This window comes from Homo sapiens, chromosome 7 (assembly GCF_000001405.40).
Source record: "Homo sapiens chromosome 7, GRCh38.p14 Primary Assembly".
Taxonomy (NCBI): Eukaryota; Metazoa; Chordata; class Mammalia; order Primates; family Hominidae; genus Homo; species Homo sapiens.
In genome coordinates, this window is record NC_000007.14 from 110,349,035 (window position 1) to 110,372,585 (window position 23,551).

The window sequence follows — 23,551 nt, forward strand, 5'->3', positions numbered from 1 at the left end:
CAGTGATGATTAGCTTTTTCCCATATGTTTGTTGGCTGCATAAACATCTTCTTTTGAAAAGTGTCTGTTCATATTATTTTGAGATACGTCCCCTCAATACCTAATTTATTGAGAGTTTTTAGCATGAAGCATTGTTGAATTTTGTCAAAGGCCTTTTCTGCGTCTACTGAGATAATCATGTGGTTTTTGTCTTTGGTTCTGTTTATATGCTGGATTACATTTATTGATTTGCGTATATTGAACCAGCCTTGCATCCCAGGAATGAAGCCCACTTGATCATGGTGGATAAGCTTTTTGATGTGCTGCTGGATTCAGTTTGCCAGTATTTTATTGAGGATTTTTGCATCAATGTTCATCAAGGATATTGGTCTAAAATTCTGAAGAGCTATCTATGACAAACCCATAGCCAATATCATACTGAATGGGCAAAAACTGGAAGCATTCCCTTTGAAAACTGGCACAAGACAGGGATGCCCTCTCTCACCACTTCTATTCAACATAGTGTTGGAAGTTCTGGCCTGGGCAATTAGGCAGGAGAAGGAAATAAAGGGTATTCAATTAGGAAAAGAGGAAGTCCAATTGTCCCTGTTTGCAGATGACATGATTGTGTATCTAGAAAACCCCATTGTCTCAGCCCAAAATCTCCTTAAGCTGATAAGCAATTTCAGCAAAGTCTCAGGATACAAAATCAATGTACAAAAATCACAAGCATTCTTATACACCAATAACAGACAAACAGAGAGCCAAATCATGAGTGAACTCCCACTCACAATTGCTTCAAAGAGAATAAAATACCTAGGAATCCAACTTACAAGGGATGTGAAGGACCTCTTCAAGGAGAACTACAAACCACTGCTCAACGAAATAAAAGATGATACAAAGAAATGCATGAACATTCCATGCTCATGGGTAGGAAGAATCAATATTGTGAAAATGGCCATACTGCCCAAGGTAATTTATACACTCAATGCCATCCCCATCAAGCTACCAATGACTTTCTTCACAGAATTGGAAAAAACTACTTTAAAGTTCATATGGAACCAAAAAAGAGCCTGCATTGCCAAGTCAATCATAAGCCAAAAGAAAAAAGCTGGAGACATCACGCTACCTGACTTCAAACTATACTACAAGGCTACAGTAACCAGAACAGCATGGTACTGCTACCAAAACAGAGATATAGGTCAATGGAACAGAACAGAGCCCTCAGAAATAACGCCGCATATCTACAACTATCTGATCTTTGACAAACCTGAGAAAAACAAGCAATGGGGAAAGGATTCCCTATTTAATAAATGGTGCTGGGAAAACTGGCTAGCCATATGTAGAAAGCTGAAACTGGATCCCTTCTTTACACCTTATACAAAAATTAATTCAAAATGGATTAAGGACTTAAATGTTAGACCTAAAACCATAAAAACCCTACAAGAAAACCTAGGCATTACCATTCAGGACATAGGCATGGGCAAGGACTTCATGTCTAAAACACCAAAAGCAATGGCAACAAAAGCCAAAATTGACAAATGGGATCTAATTAAACTAAAGAGCTTCTGCACAGCAAAAGAAACTACCATCAGAGTGAACAGGCAACCCACAAAATGGGAGAAAATTTTCGCAAGCTACTCATCTGACAAAGGGCTAATATCCAGAATCTACAATGAACTCAAACAAATTTACAAGAAAAAATCAAACAACCCAATCAAAAAGTGGGCAAAGGACATGAACAGACACTTCTCAAAAGAGTACATTTATGCAGCCAAAAAACACATGAAAAAATGCTCATCATCACTGGCCATCAGAGAAATGCAAATCAAAACCACAATGAGATACCATCTCACCCCAGTTAGAATGGCAATCATTAAAAAGTCAGGAAACAGCAAATGCTGGAGAGGATGTGGAGAAATAGGAACACTTTTACACTGTTGGTGGGACTGTAAACTAGTTCAACCCTTGTGGAAGTCACTGTGGCGATTCCTCAGGCATCTAGAACTAGAAATACCATTTGACCCAGCCATCCCATTACTGGGTATATACCCAAAGGACTGTAAATCATGCTGCTATAAAGACACATGTGCACGTATGTTTATTGTGGCACTATTCACAATAACAAAGACTTGGAACCAACCCAAATGTCCAACAATGATAGACTGGATTAAGAAAATGTGGCACATATACACCATGGAATACTATGCAGCCATAAAAAATGATGAGTTCATGTCCTTTGTAGGGACATGGATGAAATTGGAAATCACCATTCTCAGTAAACTATCGCAAGGACAAAAAACAAAACACTGCATGTTCTCACTCATAGGTGGGAATTGAACAATGAGAACACATGGACACAGGAAGGGGAACATCACACTCTGGAGACTGTTGTGGGGTAGGGGTAGGGGGTAGGGATAGCATTAGGAGATATACCTAATGCTAAACGACGAGTTAATGGGTGCAGCACATCAGCATGGCACATGTATACATATGTAACTAACCTGCACATTGTGCACATGTACCCTAAAACTTAAAGCATAATAATAATAACAAAATAAAAAAAGAAAAGTATCTGTTCATATCCTTTGCCCACTTTTTGATGGGGTTTTCTTTTTCTTGTAAATTTGTTTATGTTCCTTATAGATTCTGGATATTAGCCCTTTGTCAGATGGATAGATCGCAAAAATTTTACCCCATTTTGTAGGTTGCCTGTTCACTCTGGTGATAGTTTCTGTTGTTGTGCAAAAGCTCTTTAGTTTAATTAGATCCCATTTGTCAATTTTGGCTTTTGTTGCCATTGCTTTTGGTGTTTTAGTCATGAAGTCTTTGCCCAGGCCTATGTCCTGAATGGTATTGCCAAGGTTTTCTTCTAGGATTTTTATGGTTTTAGGTCCTATGTTTAAATCTTTAATCCATCTTGAGTTAAGTTTTGTATAAGGTGTAAGGAAGGGATCCAGTTTCAGTTTTCTGCATATGGCTGGCCAGTTTTCCCAACACCATTTATTCAATAGGGAATCCTTTCCCCATCGCTTGTTTTTGTCAGGTTTGTCAAAGATCAGATGGTTGTAGATGCGTGGTGTTATTTTTGAGGCCTCTGTTCTGTTCCATTGGTCCAAATGCCTGTTTTGTTTTGGTACCAGTACCATGCTGTTTCGGTTACTGTAGCCTTGTAGTATAGTTTGAAGTCAGATAGCGTGATGCCTCCAGCTTTATTCTTTTTGCCTAGCATTGTCTTGGCTATACGGGCTCTTTTTTGGTTTCATATGAAATTTAAAGTAGTTTTTTTCTAATTCTGTGAAGAAAGTCAATGGTAGCTTGATGGTGATCGCATTGAACCTATCAATTATTTTGGGCAGTCTGGCCATTTTCCCAATATTGATTCTTCCTATCCATGAGCATGGAAGATTTTTCCATTTGTGTGTGTCCTTTCTTATTTCCTTGAGCAGTGATTTGTAGTTCTCTTGAAGAGGTCCTTCACATCCATTGTAAGTGGTATTCCTAGGTATTTTATTCTCTTTGTAGCAATTGTGAATGGGAGTTTGCTCATGATTTGCCTCTCTGTTTGTCCATTATTGGTGTATAGGAATGCTTATGATTTTTGCACATTGATTTAGTATCCTGAGACTTTGCCGAAGTTGCTTATCAGCTTAAGGAGGTTTCGGGCTGAGACAATGGGGTTTTCTAAATATACAATCATGTCATCTGCAAACAGAGATAATTTAACTTTCTCTTTTCCTATTTGAATACCCTTCATTTCCTTCTCTTGCCTGATTGCCCTGGCCAGAACTGCCAATATTATGTTGAATAGGAGTGGTGAGAGAGGGCATCCTTGTCTTGTGCCGGTTTTCAAAGGAACGCTTCCAGCTTTTGCCCCTTCAGTATGATATTGGCTGTGGGTTTGTCATAAATAGCTCTTATTATTTTGAGATATGTTCCATCGATACCTAGTTTATTGAGAGTTTCTAGCATGAAGGGGGATTGAATTTTATCAGAGGCATTTTCTTCATCTATTGAGATAATCATGTGTTGTTTGTCATTGGTTCTGTTTATGTAATGGATTACATTTATTGACTTATGTATGTTAAACCAGCCTTGCATCCCAGGGATGAAGCCAACTTGATTTTGATGGATAAGCTTTTTAATATGCTGCTAGATTCATTTTTCCAGTTTTTTATTGAGGATTTTCGCATCGAGGTTCATCAGGGATATCTGCCTGAAATTTTCTTTTTTTGTTGTGTCTCTGCCACGTTTTGGTATCAGGATGATGCTGGCCTCATAAAATGAGTTATGGAGGAGTCCCTCTTTTTCTATTGTTTGGAATAGTTTCAGAAGGAATGGTACCAGCTCCTCTTTGTACCTCTGGTAGAATTTGCCTGTGAATCCATCCAGTCCTGGGCTTTTTATGGCTGGTAGGCTATTAATTACTGCCTCAATTTCAGAACTTGTTATTGGTCTATTCAGGGATTCAACTTTTCCTAGTTTACTCTTGGGAGGGTGTATGTGTCCAGAAATTTATCCATTTCTTCTAGATTTTCTATTTCTATTTCATTTGTGTAAAGGTGCTTATCGTATTCTCTGATGGTAGTTTGTATTTCTGTGGGATCAGTGGTGATCTTCCCTCTATCATTTGTTATTGTGTCTATTTGATTCTTCCCTCTTTTCTTCTTTATTATTCTGGCTAGTGGTCTATTTTGTTAATCTTTTCAAAAAACCAACTCCTGGACTCATTGTTTTTTTGACGGGTTTTTCTTGTCTCTATCTCCTTGAGTTCTGCTCTGATCTTAGTTATTTCTTGTCTTCTGCTAGCTTTTGAATTTGTTTCCTCTTGCTTCTCTAGTTCTTTTAATGGTGATGTTAGGGTGTAGATTTTAGATCTTTCCACTTTCTCCTGTGGGCATTTAGTGCTATAAAGTTCCCTCTACACACTGCTTTAGCTGTGTCCCAGATATTCTGCTATGTTGTGTTTTTGTTCTCATTGGTTTCAAAGGACTTATTTATTTCTGTCTTAATTCTGTTATTTACCTAGTAGTCATTCAGGAGCAGATTGTTCAGTTTCCATGTAGTTGTGCAGTTTTGAGGGAGTTTCTTAATCCTGAGTTCTAATTTGATTGCACAGGGGTCTGAGAGACTGTTATGATTTCTGTTCTTTTGCATTTGTTGAGGAGTGCTTTACTTCCATTATGTGGTCGATTTCAGAATAAGTGCTATGTGGTGCTGAGAAGAATGTATATTCTGTTGATTTGGGGTGGAGAGTTCTGTAGACGTCTATTAGGTCTGCTTGGTCCAGAGCTGAGTTCAAGTCCTGAATCTCCTTGATAATTTTCTGTCTCTTTGATCTGTCTAATATTGACAGTGGGGTGTTAAAGTCTTCCACTATTGTTTGGGAGTCTAAGTGTCTTTGCAGGTCTCTAAGAACTTGCTTTATGAATCTGTGTGCTCCTGTATCAGGTGCATATGTATTTAGGATAGTTTAACCCTTCTTGTTGCATTGATCCCTTTACCATTATGTAATGCCCTTCTTTGACTTTTTTATCTTTATTGGTTTAAAGTCTGTTATATTAGAGACTCCGCGCTTTTTTTTTCTTTCTTTTTTTTTTTTTTTTTTTTTTTTTTGCTTTCCATTTGCTTGGTAAATCTTCCTCCATCCCTTATTTTGAGCCTATGTGTGTCTTTGCACTTGAGATGGGTCTCCTGAATACACCACACCAATGGGTCTTGACTCTATCCAATTTGCCAGTTTGCGCTTTTTGATTGGGGCATTTAGCCTGTTTACATTTAAAGTTAATTTTATTATGTGTGAATTTGATATCAGCATTATGATGGTAGTGAGTTATTTTGCCCATTAGTTGATGCAGTTTCTTCATAGTGTCAATGGTCTTTACATTTTGGCTTGTTTTTGCAGTGGCTGGTACCGGTTTTTCCTTTCCATATTTAGTGCTTCCTTCAGGAGCTCTTCTAAGGCAGGCCTGGTGGTGACAAAATCCCTCAGCATTTGCTTGTCTGTAAAGGATTTTATTTCTCCTTCATTTGGCTGAATATGAAATTCTGGGTTGAAAATTATTTTCCTTAAGAAGGTTGAATATTGGCCCCCACTCTCTTCTGGCTTGCAGGGTTTCTGCTGAAAGATCTGCTGTTAGTCTGATGGGATTCCCTTTGTGGGTAACCCAACCCTTCTCTCCGGCTGCCCTTAACATTTTTTCCTTCATTTCTACTTTGGTGAATCTGACAATTATGTGTCTTGGGGTAGCTCTTCTCAAGGAGTATCTTTGTGGTGTTCTCTGTATTTCCTGAATTTGAATGTTGGCCAGTCTTTCTAGGCTGGGGAAGTTCTGCTGGATAATATCCTGAAGAGTGTTTTCCAACTTGGTTCCATTCTCCTCATCACTTTCAGGTACACCGATCAAATGTAGGTTTGGTCTTTTCACATAGTTCCATATCTCTTGGAGGACTTATTTGTTCCTTTTCATTCTTTTTTCTCTTATCTTGTCTTCACACTTTATTTCATTAAGTTGCTCTTCAATCTCTGATATCCCTTATTCCACTTGATCGATTTAGCTATTGATACTTGTGTATGCATCATGAAGTTTTCGTGCTGTGTTTTTCAGCTCCATCAGGTCATTTATGTCCTTCTCTAAACTGGTTATTCTAGTTAGCAACTCCTCTAACCTTTTGTCAAGGTTCTTAGCTTCCTTGCATCGTGTTAGAACATGCTCCGTTAGCTTGGAGGAGTTTGTTATTACCCACCTTCTGAAGTCTACTTCTGACAATTCGTCAAACTCACTCTCCGTCCACTTTTGTTCCCTTGCTGGTGAGGACTGTGGTCCTTTGGAGGAAATAAGGCATTCTGGTTTTTGGAATTTTCAGCCTTTTTGCACTGGTTTATCCTCATCTTCATGGATTTATCAAACTTTGGTCTTTGCTGTTGGTAACCTATGGATGAAGTTTTTGAGTGGTTGTCCTTTTTGTCAAGGTTGATGCTATTGCTTTCTGTTTCTTAGTTTTCCTTCTAACAGTCAGGCCCCTCTTCTGCAAGTCTGCTGGAGTTTGCTGGGGGTCCACTCCAGACCTTGTTTGCCTGGGTATCACCAGTGGAGGCTACAGAACAGCAATGATTGCTGCCTGATCCTTCCTGTGGAAGTTTCATCCCAGAGGGGCACCCACCACCTGCTAGCCAGAGCTCTCCTGTATGAGGTGTCTGTCAAACCCTGCTGGGAGATGTCTCCCTGTCAGGATGCACAGGGGTCAGGGACCCACTTAAGGAGGCAGTCTGTCCCATAGCAGAGCTCAAGCACTGTGCTGGGAGATCTGCTGCTCTCTTCAGAGTTGGCAGGCAGGAACGTTTAAGTCTACTGAAGCTTCACCCACAGCTGCCCCTTCCCCCAGGTGCTCTGTCCCAGGGAGATGGGAGTTTTATCTATAATCCCCTGACTGGGGCTGCTGACTTTCTCTCAGAGATGCCCTGCCCAGAGAAGAGGAATCTAGAAAGGCAGTTTGGCTACAGTGGCTTTGCGGTGCTGCAGTGGGCTCCGTCCAGTCCAAACTTCCCGGTGGCTTTGTTTACACTGTGAGAGGCAAACAGCCTACTCAAGGCTCAGTAATGGTGGATGCCCCTCCCCCCACCAAGCTCGAGCATCTCAGGTCCACTTCAGACTGCCGTGCTGGCAGCGAGAATTTCAAGTCAGTGGGTCTTAGCTTGCTGGGCTCGGTGTGGGTGGGATCTGCTGAGCAAGACCACTTGCTTCCCTGACTTCAGCCCCCTTTCCAGGGGAGTAAACGGTTCTGTCTTGCTGGTGTTCCAGGTGCCACTGGAGTACAAAATAAAACTCCTGCAGCTATCTCAGTGTCTGCCCAAACGGCTGCCCAGTTTTCTGCTTGAAACCCAGGGCCCTTGTGGTATAGGCACCCAAGAGAATCTCCTGGTCTGTGGGTTGTTAAGACCATGGGAAAAGCGTAGTATCTGAGCCTGATAGCACCATCCTTCATGGCACAGTCCCTCATGGCCTCCCTTAGCTAGGGGAGGTTGTTCCCTGACCCTTTGTGCTTCCCAGGTGAGGCAATGCCCCACCCTGCTTTTGTTCATCCTCGGTGGGCTGCATCCATTGTCTAACCAGTCCCAATGAGATGAACCAGGTACCTTAGTTGGAAATGCAGAAATCACCCGCCTTCTGCATTCGTCTCTGGGAGCTGCAGACCAGAGTTGTTCCTATTCAGCCATCATGCCCGGGAATCCATATTTGACCTTTTATTTTATTTTTAGATTCCACATGTGAGTGAGGCAATGTACTATTTTTCTTTCTGTGTCTGGTTTATTTCCCTTAGCATAATGTCACACAGGTCTATTCCTTTTTTAAGACTGAATAACATTTCATTGCACATATATATGTACATATAGAATGTGTATATATATATATATATATACAATTACAATAGCTATAATATAATAGCTATTAGCTATTATATTAGCTATATAGTGCCCCATTGTTATTGTTATTATCCATTCATCTGTTGACAGACGTTTAGGTTGTTTCCATATTTTGGCTATTCTGAATATTGCTGCAGTGAACACAGAAGTGCAGGGATGATGATTTCATCTCCTTTGGGTATATACCCCAAAAAAGGGATTGCTGGGTAATATGGTAGTTCTATTTTTTAATTTCTTAGGAACCTCCAGATCATCTTCCATAACATTTGTACCAAGCTACATTCCCACTAACAATGTATTAGGGTCTCCTTTTCTCTGCAACCTTGCCAACATTTATTATCTCTTGTCCTTTTGATAACAGCCATTCAAACAGGTGTGAGGTGATATCTCATAGTGGTTTTAATTTTCATTTCCTTGATGAATGGTGGTACGGAGCACCTTTTTAAATACAGTCATACATCACCTAATGATGTGGACACATTCTGAGAAATGCACTGTTAGGTAATTTTGTTGTTTTTTGAACACCATAGAGTGCACTTACACAAACCTGATGCCATATGCTACTACATATTTAGGTTACATGGTATAGCCTATTGTTTCTACACTATAAACCTGTATAGGATGTTATTGTAGTAAAATACTGTAATCAAATGTAACGTAAGGATAAGTGTTTGTATATCTAAACATAGAAAAGGTACAGTAAAAACATGGTATAAAAGATAATAAGTGGTACACCTATATAGAGCACTTACCATGAATGGAGCTTGCTGAACTAGAAGCTGATCTGGGTGAGTCACTGAGTGAGCAATGAGTGAATGTGAAGGACTAGGACATTACTGTACACTACTGTAGACTTTATAAACACTGTACACTTGGGCTACACTAAACTTATTTTTACATTTTCTTTCTTCAATTATAAACTTACCCTACTTACTGTAACATTTTTACTTTATAAACTTGTTAATGGTTTTTATCTGTTTGACTCTTTTATAATAACACTTAGCTTAAAACAAAAGCACATTGTACAGCTGTACAAAAATATTTTCTATTTTTATCCCTATGCTATTAGCTTTGTTCTATGTTAAAATTATTTTACTTTTTTACTTTTAAATTTTCTTGTTAAAAACGAAGACATAAACATACATATTAGGCTAGGCCTACTCAGGGTCAAGATCATCCATATCACTGTCTCCTGCCTCCACATCTTGTCCCACTGGAAGGCCTTCAGCATCAATAACACATATGCTCTCATCTCCCATGACAACAATGCCTTCTTCTGGGTACTTCCTGAAGGACCTGCCTGATACTGTTTTACAATTAACATTGTTTTTAATAAATAGAAAAAGTACACTCTAAAATAATAATTTATAGTATAGTAAACACATAAACCAGTAATGGTCATTTATTATCATTTTGCTTTTGTAGCCTGAGCTTTTGATGTGATATCCAAAAAGTCATTGTCAGGCAATGTCAAGGAGATTTCACGTGATGTTCTCTTCTAGGAGTTTTATGGTTTTATGATTTCAGGTCTAACACTTAGGCCTTTCATTCATTTTGAGTTGATTTTTACATAGGTGTAAAATTGTGTCCAATTTTATCATTTTGCATGTGGAAATCAAGTTTTCACAGCACCTTTTACTGAGGAAACTATCCTTTTCCCATTGTGTTCTCTTGGTGCCCTTGTTGAAAATCAGTCGATCATATATGTTTGAATTTATCTGTGGGCTTTCTATCCTGTTTCTTGGGTCTATGGTTCTGTTTTAATGCTAGTATCATACTATTTTGATTACTATAGCTTTGGAATATAACTTTAAATCAGGATGTGCGATGCTTGATGCTTCCAACTTTGTCTTTGTTTTATTTTGGCTAGTCTGGTTTTTTGTGGTTCTATATAAATTTTAAAATTGTTTCTCTATTTCTATTTCTATTGTTTTTGCTATCTCTATGAAGAATGCCATTGGAATTTTGATAGGGATTGTGTTACATCTGCATACTGATTTGGGGTAGCAGGACATTTTAACAATTTTACTTCTTCCAATCCATGAGCACATGTTATCTTTCCAATTTTTGTGTCTTCTTCAATTTCTTTCATTTAAGTTTTATAATTTTCATTATATAAATGTTTCACCCCTTTGGTATTTTTTATGCTATTCTAAATGAAATTGTTTTCTTGATTTTTTTTTTCAGCTACATTTCTATTGGTGTATAGAAATGCTAATGATTTTTGTATGTTCCTTTTGTATCCTGCAACTTTACTGAATATCTTTATTTGTCATAGTGTGGTTTTTTTGTGAAATATTTAGGGATTTCTACAATACAATTATGTCATCTGCAAATACAGATAATCTTATTTCTTTCTTCTCAGTCTGGATGCCTTTATTTTTTCTTCTTCTCTGATTGCTCTTGCAGTATTGTATTGTACTTGCAGTACTATATTGAATAGAAGTGGTAAAGGTGTGCATTCCTACCTTGAACTGGATCTTAGTAGAAAACTTTCACTTGTTCCCCACTGATATGATGTTATCTGTGGATATTTCATAAATGACCTTTGTTATGTTGAGAAACTTTCTGTATCTAAACTGTTAAGAGTTTTTATGAAGAAAGAATGCTGAACTTTTGTCAAATGCTTTTCTCTGTGTCACTTGAGATGATCACGTATTTTCTTGCATTCTGTTAATATGATAAATCACATTGATTTAATTTTATATCATATTGATTAATTTTTAAAAAAGCTTTGCATGGCAGAGATAAATCTCACTTGGCCATGATGTGTAATCTTCTTGATGTGTTCTTGAATTCGGTTTGCTAATATTTTATTGAAGATGTTTGCATCAAAGATCATCAGAGATATTGGCCTGTAGTTTTGTTCTCTTGTGGTATCTTTTTCTGGTTTAAGTAGCAAAGTGATGCTGGCTTCGAAAATGTGTTTGGAAGTATTTCTGCTAGCTCTATTTTTTGCATACATTTAAGAAGTACTGATGATGATGCTTCTTTGAATTTTTGGTAGAATTCAACCAAAAAGCCACCTGGTCTTGGGCTTATAGGTTTTAAACTCTTCCATCTCTTTATTTGTTATTGATTTACTCAAACTTTCTATTACTTCCTGACTCAAACTTGGTAGGTTATATTTTTCTAGAAATTTATCAATGTCGTCTAGTTTATTCTATTTGTTGGCATAGAATTGTTCATAATAGTCCCTTATGACCCTTTTTATTTCTGATATATCTGTTATAATGTCTCCACTTTCATTTCTAATTTTATTTTTTGAGTCTTCTCTCTTTTTTTTCTTAGTTGACAGATTTGATTATTTTGTTTAATTTCTCAAAAATCCAACTCTTGATTTTATTGATTTTTTTCTGTAGTTTTCTGTTTTCTATTTGATTTATTTTTTTCTCTGATCTTTATTATTTATTTCCTTCTACTAACTTTGGGTTTAGTTTGTTCTTTTTCTAGCCCCTTGAAGCATAATGTTGGGCTATGTTTTGGGGATATTTCTTCATTTTTAATGTAGGCACTTATTGCTATCAACTTCCCTCTTAGAATTGCTTTTGCTGTTGCTGTATCCCATAGGTTGGGATATGTTGTGCTTCCATTGCCATTTGTCTCAAGAAATTTTTTAAGTTTTCTCTTATTTTTTTTCTTTAACCTTGGTTTTTCAGAAGCATGTTGTTTAATTTCCACATATTTGTAAATTTTCCAAGATTCTTCCTGTTGCTGATTTCCACTATGAAACTACAATGGTACTATTCTGGTTGGAGACAATACTAGATATAATTTCAATATCTTTTAATTTGCTAAGACTTGTTTCGTGGCCTAACATATGGTGTATACTGAAGTACATCTCATGAATGTTAAAGAAGAATATATATTCTGCTACTGTCAGATGAAAAACTCTATATGTGTCTCTAAGGTCCAATTGGTGTAAAGTTCAGTTCCGTTCCAGAATTTCCTTGTGAACCTTCTGTCCAGCTGATCTATCCATTATTGAAAGTGGGATATTAAAGTACCCTAGTATTATTGTATTGCTATCTATTTCTTCCCTCATGTTCATTAAAATTCGCTTTATATATTTATGTGATTTTATGTTGAGTGCATCTACATTTATAATTATGAAAATTGTAAATATTGTGATTACAAATTATAAATTGTCTTCTTGATGAGTTGACTCCTTTATTATTAAATAATGACCCTTTTGTCTGTTATAACAGTTCTTGACTTAATGTCTATTTTAACTGATATAAATAAAACCACCTCAGCTTTTTTCTAGTTACTAGTGGCCTGTAATATCTTCTTCTATCTCACTTTCAAACTTTATTTATCCTTAAAACAAAAATGGTCTCTTGTAAGCACAATATAGTTGCATCTTCTTTTTTTAAATCCATTCAGCCACTTTTTTGTCTTCTAATAAGAGAGTTTAATCTATTTACATTTAAGTTTTTTAATGATAGGTAAGGATTTATTGCTGCCATTTTGTTGACATTGTTAGATCACTTTTCTTTCTTCCTCTCTTATTGTTCACCTTGGTGATTTGGTGATTTTCTGTAGTGCTAATTTTTATTTTTTTTTTTCTCTTTCTTGTTCGTGTATGTGCTGTAGTTTTTTGCTTTGTAGTTATCATGGGGTTTACATAAAATATCTTATACTTACAATAAGCTATTTTTAGCTGATAACAACTTAATTTGGGTCACATCAAATATTTTATCCTCCTCATTATGATTTATAATAGGGTTACCACAATTTGCATTCTTTTGTATTGTATATTCCTTAGCAACTTATGGTAACTATAGTTACTTATTTTTACCATTTTGACTTTTAACCTTCATACTAGAGATTTGAAAGATTTACCCACCACCATTTCTGTCACAGAGCATTTTGAATTTGATTATGAATTTACCTCTGCCAATGAGTTTTATTTCATACATTTTCATATTAGTAATTATCATGCTTTCATTTCTGGTTGAAACACTCCCTTAGGCATATCATGTAAGGCAGTTCTAGTGGTAATGAATTCCCTCAACTTTTGTTTGTCTAGGAAATACTTTATTTCTCCTTCATTTCTGTAGGACAGTTTTACTAGATAGAGTATTCTTGACTGGCAGATTTTTCTTTCAGCATTTTGAATATATCATCCCATTTTCTCCTGGCCTGAAAAGTTTCTGCTGAGAAATCTGTGGATAGACTAAAGGAGATTTTCTTCTCTGTCATTTAATGATATTCTCTTGTTGCTTTTAAATTTTTCTTTGTCTTTGACTTTTGACATTTTGATTATAATGTGCCTCAATATGGACCTCTTTGAGTTGAACCTGTTTGTGGTTTGAGCCAAATGGATCTGGATACCCAAATCGCTTCCAAGACTTGAGAAGTTTTCCATAATTATTTTGTTAAATAATGTTTCTGTGACCTTCACCATCTCTTTGTACTCTGGAATTCCCATAATGCAAATCTTTGTTTGCTTAATGGTATCCCATAAGTCCTATAGGCTTTCTTCACTCTTTTTTTAAACTTGTTTTTTTCCATGGATTAGTTGATTTCGAAAGACCTGTCTTCAAGTTCAAAGATTCTTCCTTCTCCTTTATGTAATTTACTGTGACTCTCAATCGTTTTTTTCTATTTCATTCATAGTGTTCCTCAGCTCCAAGATCTCTGTTGGTTCTTTTCTATAACATCTTTTTGTTGAATTTTTCATTTTTATTATGAATTGTTTTTCTAATTTCATTAAATTGTCTATCTGTATTCTCCTGTATCTTACTGAGTATCCTTAAAGCATTGTTTCAAATTCCTTTTCAAATAATTCATAGATTTTCATTTCTTTGAGGTTAGTTACTAGAGCATTATTGTGTTCCTTAAAGCAGGGAACAGCTGCAATTTGGGCTCCAAGATACAACAGGGCACAGTGGTAACTCGAGCAACAGGAGAAATTACACCACACAGTGGTGACTCTGGACACTGGAGTGGTAGGATACAGCACTGGCTCAAACTTTGTGATGCCAAGTGTGATGATAGAAAGGACCCAGGAATGGCAGGGTACAGCAGTGACTTGAACTCCAGAGGGTAAGAAGCAGTGTAATTATGGCCTAACTCAACCACTCAGACTTCAGTGGGATAGTCCAGATTCATGGAAGCAGGCCACTGCAGCTGTTCAGCCCAGACAGTGGGGTGGCACAGCTCATCCAAGGCTCTGTTTCCCTGAGTGTAAGGCACCACATCACTCAGGTGCCAGGGGGTACCTGGTCCAGCTCTTCTGGACCAGGCTCTGGATATCTGAGAGGTCTGATGCTATATGGGCTCAAGCGCCAGTGTCACAGCTACTCCCCTGGGCTGAAGCTCTGATTCAGAGAGGCAAGGTACTGGGTTGCTTCAAGTGCTGAGGGCACAGCTACTCTGAAAGGCACGTGCATCTGGTTTCCAGGGAACAAGGTTCCATATGGGCTTGAGTGTCAGGCTTTCAGCTGCTCTCAGGGCCAAAACTGCGATTCCCTGGGGGTGGGGAATCAGATTGGTTAAAGCTGAGGGGCCTTGACTGCTCCACAGGCTTAGGTACAGCTTTTCCACTAGATGAGAGCACCTGGTCTCCTAAGGGCAAGGCACAGCATGGGCTTCGATGCTGGGGTCATGGCTGCTTCCCTATGCTGAAGCTCTGATTCCTGCGGAACAGGGAACTGAATTGGTTTGGGCACTTGGAGCACAGTTTCTTTGCTGGGCCTGTGGTTTCAAGTAGCAGGTTGAGGTGCAGCAGCAACAGGGATGGGGGAGGTAGAGTGATTCCTGGGCAGTATAGCTGGAGAATGTGGTGCAGTACTGTGTGTCTATGTGAAGCCATAACAGCAGAATCTCTGGGATGGAGGGATGCAATGGCTACTAGTCCCTGGAGCAGGGTACACTCTAAGAGGGGCTGTGGTTTGAAAATGGAACCTTGCAGTAGGAGGTTGGAAAACAAGGAGCAGGGCACAATGTGGGCTCCTCCCCTGGAGTAATGCAGCTGTATGAACTCCAGGCAGCTCCCTAAACTGGACTCAGTGCCTGTGAGGACTGTAGGCTTCTCCAGTAGTGAAGACTGCAAATGCCTGTGGTGGTGATGAGGGTCTCTCAGGGCCTCTTGCTTACCTCTTCCTTAGAGAGAGAAGGCCCTCCTGGTTTCTGAGTTGATCCCAACTCGGGGAATGGGCTGGCAGAAGCAAGGTGTTTCAACCCCTTTTCTATGAAGCCATCCTGAGTTTCCATGCCACACAGAGTTTCTGCCACTCCCTTGCTATACTTCAGCACTCTCCTTTAGTCACTCTGGTCAAAATGTAGTTATTTGTTTACTGTTTTGGTCCATTTTTGTGAGGATGGGAATAAGCATTAAGCACCTTCAATCAACCATCTTATTCTTATTGGATAAATTTAAAATTACACATGGACATGATGTTACAAATTTAACCCCTGGGGAATTCTGATGCTGTCTTTAAAATAATAAGATACATAGCATTTTCTTTAATTTAATGTCTCCAATTATTAAATACTCCTGATTTCAGAGAGATTGATTTTTTATAAACATGCATCTTAGAATTGATGAAACTTTTAAATATAATGGCTACAGATCAAAAGTGACATAATTTTTTATAGTAGCCATAGCCATTCTGACTGGAGTGAGGTGCTATCTCGTAATTTTGATTTGCATTTCCCTGATGATTAGTGATGTTGAGTATTCTTTAATATATCTTGTATTAGTCCATTTTCACACTGCTGATAAAGACATACCCAAGACTGGGAAGAAAAAGAGGTTTAACAGACTTACAGTTCCACATGGCTCAGGAGGCCTCATAATCATGGTGGAAGGCATGTAGGAGCAAGTCACATCATACATGGATGGCTGCAAGCAGAAAAAGAGAGAGCTTGTGTAGGGAAACTCCCATTTTTAAACCCACCTGATCCTGTGAGTTTCATTCACTATCACAAGAACAGAGCAGGAAAGATCTGCCCCAATAATTCAATTAACTCCCATTGGTTCCTCTCATGACTCTTGGGAATTGGGGGAGTTACATTCAAGATGAGATTTGGGTGGGGACATAGCCAAACCATATCATATCTGTTGTCGATTTGCATGTCTTCTTTTAAGAAATATCTATTTTGATATTTTTTCTTATTTTTAATCTTTTGTTTTTGTTTTTGAGTTGTTTGAATTCCTTGTATATTTTAGACATTAAATTTGCCATACGTATAGCTTGCAAATGTAGTCTCCCATTCTGTTGGCTATCTCTTGCTCTGTTGATTATTTCCATTGTTGTGTAGAAGGTTTTCAGTTTGATGTAATCTTATTTGCCTATATTTGATTTTGTTTGTCTGTCCTTTTGAGGTTGTATATTAAAAAACATCTTTGCATAGACCAATCTCACAGAGCTTTTCCCTTATGTTTTCCTCTAGCACTTTTGTATTTCTGTGAAGGATGCCATCGGTATTTTGTTAGAGATTGTGTTAAATTAGTGTATTGCTTTGAGGTATATGGTCATTTTAAAAATATTAATTCTTCGAGTCCATGAACATGAGATATCTTTTCATTTTTTTGTGTGTTTTTTTCAATTAATTTTATTAATATTCTGTAATTTTCATTTTAGAGATCTTTTACCTGCTTGGTTAAGTAGCTACTATCAAAAAATCAAAAGATGACAAGTGTTGGTGAGGATGTAGAGAAAAAGGAACCTTTACATATTGCTAGTGGGGATATAAATTAGTACGTCCATTACAGAAAGCAGTATCAAAGTTCTTCAAAAAATTAAAAATAGAGCTACCCTATGATCCAGCAATCTCACTGCTGGGTAGAGAAAGAAGAAAAACAAGTATATCAAAGAGATATCTTCATTTTCATGTTTATCACAGCATTATTCACAATAGCCAAGATTTGGAATCAACCAAAATGTCTACCAATGGATGAATGGATTAAAAAATGTGGGGTATACATACATAGTGGAAGACTATCCAGCCAAAAATAAGAATGAAATCCTGTCATTTGTGGCAACATAGATAAACCTCGAGGACATTAAGTAAAATAAGCCATGTAAAGAAAGACATTGCATGATCTCATTCATGTATGAATGATAGAAAGTTATTTTCACATAAGTAAAGAGTAGAATAATGGTTACTATAGGATGAGGAAGAATGAGGTGAGGGGCAATGGTGAGAAACTGAGCAATAGGTATAAAGCTACAGCTAGATAGGAGGATTAAGTTCTGGCGTTCTATTGCAGAGTAGGATGGCTAAAATTAACAATAATGCATTAAACAATTCAAAATAGCTAGAAAAGGTCCTTCACATCCCTTGCAAGTTGGATTCCTAGGTATTTTATTCTCTTTGAAGCAATTGTGAATGGGAGTTCACTCATGATTTGGCTCTCTGTTTGTCTGTTATTGGTGTATAAGAATGCTTGTGATTTTTGCACATTGATTTTGTATCCTGAGACTTTGCTGGAGTTGCTTATCAGCTTAAGGAGATTTGGGGCTGAGACAATGGGGTTTTCTAGATATACAATCATGTCATCTGCAAACAGGGACAATTAGATTTCCTCTTTTCCTAATTGAATACTCTTTATTTCTTTCTCCTGCCGGATTGTCCTGGCCAGAACTTCCAACACTATGTTGAACAGGAGTGGTGAGAGAGGGCATCCCTGTCTTGTGCCAGTCTTCAAAGGGAATGCTTCCAGTTTTTGCCCATTCAGTATGATATTGGCTGTGGGTTTGTCATAAATAGCTCTTACTATTTTGAGATACATTCCATCAATACCTAATTTATTGAGAGTTTTTAGCATGAAGGGTTGTTGAATTTTGTCAAAGGCCTTTTCTGCATCTACTAAGATAATCATGTGGTTTTTGTCTTTGGTTCTGTTTATATGCTGGATTACATTTATTGATTTGCGTATGTTGAACCAGCCTTGCATCCCAGGGATGAAGCCCACTTGAACATGGTGGATAAGCTTTTTGATGTGCTGCTGGATTGGATTGCCAGTATTTTATTGAGGATTTTTGCTTTGATGTTCATTAGGAATATTGGTATAAAATTCTTTTTTTGTTGTGTCTCTGCCAGGCTTTGGTATCAGGATGATGCTGGCCTCGTAAAAGGAGTTAGGAAGGATTCCCTCTTTTTATATTGATTGGAATAGTTTCAGAAGGAATGGTATCAGCTCCTCCTTGCACCTCTGGTAGAATTCGGCTGTGAATCCGTCTGTTCCTGGACTTTTTTTGGTTGGTAAGCTATTAATTATTGCCTCAATATCAGAGCCTCTTACTGGTCTATTAACAGATTCAACTTCTTCCTGGTTTAGTCTTGGGAGGGTGTATGTGTCGAGGAATTTATCCATTTCTTCTAGATTTTCTAGTTTATTTGCATAGAGATGTTTATAGTATTCTCTGATGGTAGTTTGTATTTCTGTGGGATCGGTGGTGATATCCCCTTTATCATTTTTATTGCATCTATTTGATTCTTCTCTCTACAAACCACTGCTCAACGAAATAAAAGAGGACACAAACAAATGAAAGAACATTCCATGCTCATGGATAGGAAGAATCAATATTGTGAAAATGGCCATACTGCCCAAGGTAATTTATAGATTCAATGCCATCCCCATCAAGCTACCAATTACTTTCTTCACAGAATTGGAAAAAACTTCTTTAAAGTTCATATGGAACCAAAAAAGAGCCCACATTGCCAAGACTAACCTAAGCCAAAAGAACAAAGCTGGAGGCATCACACTACCTGACTTCAAACTATACTACAAGGCTACAGTAACCAAAACAGCATGGTACTGGTACCAAAACAGAGATATAGATCAATGGAACAGAACAGAGCCCTCAGAAATAATACCACACATCTACAACTATCTGATCTTTGACAAACCTGAGAAAAACAAGAAATGGGGAAAGGATTCCCTATTTAACAAATGGTGCTGGGAAAAGTGGCTAGCCACATGTAGAAAGCTGAAACTGGATCCCTTCCTTACACCTTATACAAAAATTAATTCAACATGGATTGAAGACTTAAATGTTAGACCTGAAACCATAAAAACCCTAGAAGAAAACCTAGGCAATACAATTCAGGACATAGGCATGGGCAAGGACTTCATGTCTAAAACACCAAAAGCAATGGCAACAAAAGCCAAAATTGTCAAATGGGATCTAATTAAACTAAAGAGCTTTCTGCACAGCAAAAGAAACTATCATCAGAGTGAACTGGCAACCTACAAAATGGGAGAAAATTTTTGCAATCTACTTATCTGACAAAGGGCTAATATCCAGAATCTACAAAGAACTCAAACAAATTTACAAGAAAAAAACAAACAACTCCATCAAAAAGTGGGCAAAGGATATGAACAGACACTTCTCAAAAGAAGACATTTATACAGCCAAAAGACACATGAAAAAATGCTCATCATCACTGGCCATCAGAGAAATGCAAATCAAAACCACAATGAGATACCATCTCACACCAGTTAGAATGGTGATCATTAAAAAGTCAGGAAACAACAGGTGCTGGAGAGGATGTGGAGAAATAGGAACACTTTTACACTGTTGGTGGGACTGTAAACTAGTTCAACTGTTGTGGAAGACAGTGTGGCGATTCCTCAAGGATCTGGAACTAGAAATACCATTTGACCCAGCCATCCCATTACTGTGTATATACCCAAAGGAATATAAATCATGCTGCTACAAAGACACATGCACATGTATATTTATTGCGGCACTACTCACAATAGCAAAGACTTGGAACCAAGCCAAATGTCCAACAATGATAGACTGGATTAAGAAAATGTGGCACATATACACCATGGAATACTATGCAGCCATAAAAAATGATGAGTTCATGTCCTTTGTAGGGACATGGATGAAGCTGGAAACCATCATTCTCAGCAAACTATTGCCAACGACCAAAAACCAAACACCGCATGTTCTCACTCATAGGTGGGAATTGAACAATGAGAACACTTGGACACAGGAAGGGGAACATTGCACACTGGGGCCTGTTGTGGGGTGGGGGGAGGGGAGAGGGATAGCATTAGGAGATATACCTAATGTAAATAACGAGTTAATAGGTGCAGCACACCAACATGGCACGTGTATACATATGTAACAAACCTGCACGTTGTGCACATGTACCCTAGAACTTAAAGTATAATAAAAAATATATATATATAAATTTAAAAAATAGCTAGAAAATACGTTTTTGAATTTTCTCATTATGAGAAAATTAAAAATGTTTAAGGTAATAGATATGCTAATTATCCTCATTTGATCATTACACAATGTATACATACATTGAAACATCACATTGTACCCCATAAATATGTGCAATTATGTGTCAATTATAAATTAAAGAAAAACTGATTTATAAGCTCTCTATTACATTATTTAAAACTAACATATTTTCCTCAGGATTATCTATCTATATGTCTTTTTATATCAAATATATATATATATATATATATATATGGTTTCTGTGTTCATCCCCTATACATGTTGCCTCTAAAACGTATCTCGATTCTGTCTACATCTCTTCTTATCCACTCTTATCACCTATACCTGAGTCATAAACCAGTACCATCTCTATCTTGAACTATTAGACTGGCTACCTAACTGGTCTCCCTGTTTCCATTTTGCCTCCACAACCCATCTACCATAAAGCAGAAAACCTTAATTGGATCCTTTCAATAATCTCCCATTACCCTCACAATTAAATCTAAATTCCTCTCGACAGCTTACAAAGCTCTGAACAAATTTACATTTGCTTGTTTCTCCCACCTTCAATTTGTCCCTCAGCCACTCTCACTCTCTGTATTTCTGCTTCATCATTTTAGCCTTTTCTTAGCTGATACATCAAGGTTTATCTCCTTAGAACTTTGACCCATGTGACTCCTTTTACTTAGAGGGCTTCTCCACCCAACCTTGTTGGTGGTTGTATTCTCTTGGTCATTGTATTCTCTTGGTCCTCAGTATCTTGGCTTAGATGTTACTTCCTCAACAAGATTGTCCCTGCCATCCAATTTAAAACAAGTTCTCTTCCAACATTCTGTCTCAGCCCTCTAATTTTCCCTCATAGCACCTTTTTTATAACTGTGAATAATGCTTTTATTTATTTACTTACTCCTTATGATCTATCTATATGGAGCTATATTTTACATACATATATATATAAATAAAATAGATAACTATACTACCTATATGGAGCTTATCTATATGCTCCATATAAGCAGGGCCCGAGGCGATTTTGTTTAGAACTCCCTACCTAGTACCTAAAAGAGTAGTTTCTCAATAAATATTTATAGATAAATGTATAGTTTTGGATGCTATCACTGCTCACATTTACCACATATATCCTTTTCTCTCACTATATTATACTCATTATTGAAAACCTATTTATCACAGCCAAGAATTGCACTAAAAATTTATATGCATATAGATACATTCCTTTTTTTAAACAGCTAATATGATACGACTTCTTTTTACTATGTACTACCTTGCAGTGAAGATGAGGCCCTATTCAACTTTAAGTGCACATGTGAAAAATGTAGGATAATTATGGTATAGCAACATTTGACTCTTTCATTTTCCTCCTGTGTAGTTTTGGATTAAGATCCATTTGGACTGCATTGGTACACTGCCATGGAAGACATGAGAATAGGAAGTAAATGTAAAGAATAAAAGCCCAGAAGTAGATGCTTTGTATTCTAATCTTAGCTCTATCATTATAAGGATTTAAGATTTTGGGAAAATAATCACATTTCTTTGGTTCTCAGTTTGTTCTTTCTAAAATAGGTTTAAAAAATGTTTTTCAAGTCTCAAAAAGTATTGAAATTCTGAGACTAGTTTCATGAACTTTTCAGTTTGCTAATAATAAAATAACGATTGTCATTGTAGTAAAGGCTAGCATTTATGGAAGATTCATAATGTGTCCAGCATGATCTCATTAATCCTCACAACTTTCAGTTGAGAGTTTTACTACTGGTAATTCTTTTACAAAGATAAGGAAGCACAGAGATGTTGAGTAACTTGCGCAAGTTTTCATATCTCTAAGGGATGGTCAAGCAAGTGGCCTCGTCTAGGACCCCATCTTCTTAATCACTGAACTATGGTACATCTTCTGTAATAGTAATTTTACTCGTAATTGTTCCCTGCCAAGGGTGTTCCTAGGATGCTCAGAATTAACTTACAGGCTTACTGGTGACCTGCGCTCTCAGAAGTGTCAATTACACGTATGTGTTTATCTTGTTATGTCTCTTCAGAGCCTCAATAAGGGGAGCCTAAGCCCACTTACATCTCTTCGGTTTGGTCTCTGTAGTAGTGGTTGGTTGGTTTATGGATAAACTAGATCACATCTGCCTGGCAGTCCTGCCCAGCAGGTCTGGTCCACCCCAGCTATTTCTCAGATGTCTTTATTGATTTTTGCATTGCTTTTGGCTTGTTTTCAGCACATCACTTTAGTGTCTTACTTGACAGCCCTCTGGCCTATTCACTGTTGAATTGTTGTTCAGGAATGTGGTCACTTGCCCTGCCTACACAATAGAGCTGACTTTCTACTGTGCTCTGATCAGCTTGACACTTTAAAGGGGTGATCATATGAATGTGGTAGAAGTTTCCATGGCCGTGATTCAGTAATACCTAGCAAAATGGGTCACAGATTGCATCGATATTAACCAACCTATTTAGTTCAACTAATAGGTATAATTGAGCATTTACTATCAGGCCACCACAGAATTAGGAATACAGTGATAGATAGATAGATAGATAGATAGATAGATAGATAGATAGATAGATAGATTGACAGATATATATATATATATCCCTTAAAGAATGTATAATATTTCATGGGAAAATGTTTATTTAATAAAGATCTTAAATAACTATTAGGATAGTATAAGTTCAAGTGCTGGAATGAATGTTATAAACAATGTGTGCAGTTGGAATTTTTAAAAAGCATATGGCCATAAACAGGAGTTGATGGTGAATGCTTAATGGAACATATAAGGATATTTGGCCTACTATAGGAAGTAGTTTAGCATAGGGTTAAAAGCATGAGTAGGCCTAGTCAGAAGACTAAATTAAAATCTGAATTCCTCTATTCACTAACTGAATGGGTTTGGACATGTTACCAAATTTCTATAGATTCCAATTTAATTACTTGTAA

The 23,551-nt window shown here is 37.3% G+C and overlaps 1 long non-coding RNA gene across 1 annotated transcript in view; it reads right to left on the bottom strand.

The window, feature by feature from the left end:
- Nucleotides 1-11,811: 11,811 nt before the first annotated feature.
- LOC105375451 (uncharacterized) overlaps nt 11,812-23,551 on the bottom strand; it is a 173,872-nt gene continuing 162,132 nt past the window's right edge. Inside the window, exon 5 of the long non-coding RNA XR_927863.3 lies at nt 11,812-16,256. This is a non-coding gene — a long non-coding RNA (uncharacterized LOC105375451). The remainder of the gene's footprint in view (nt 16,257-23,551) is intronic.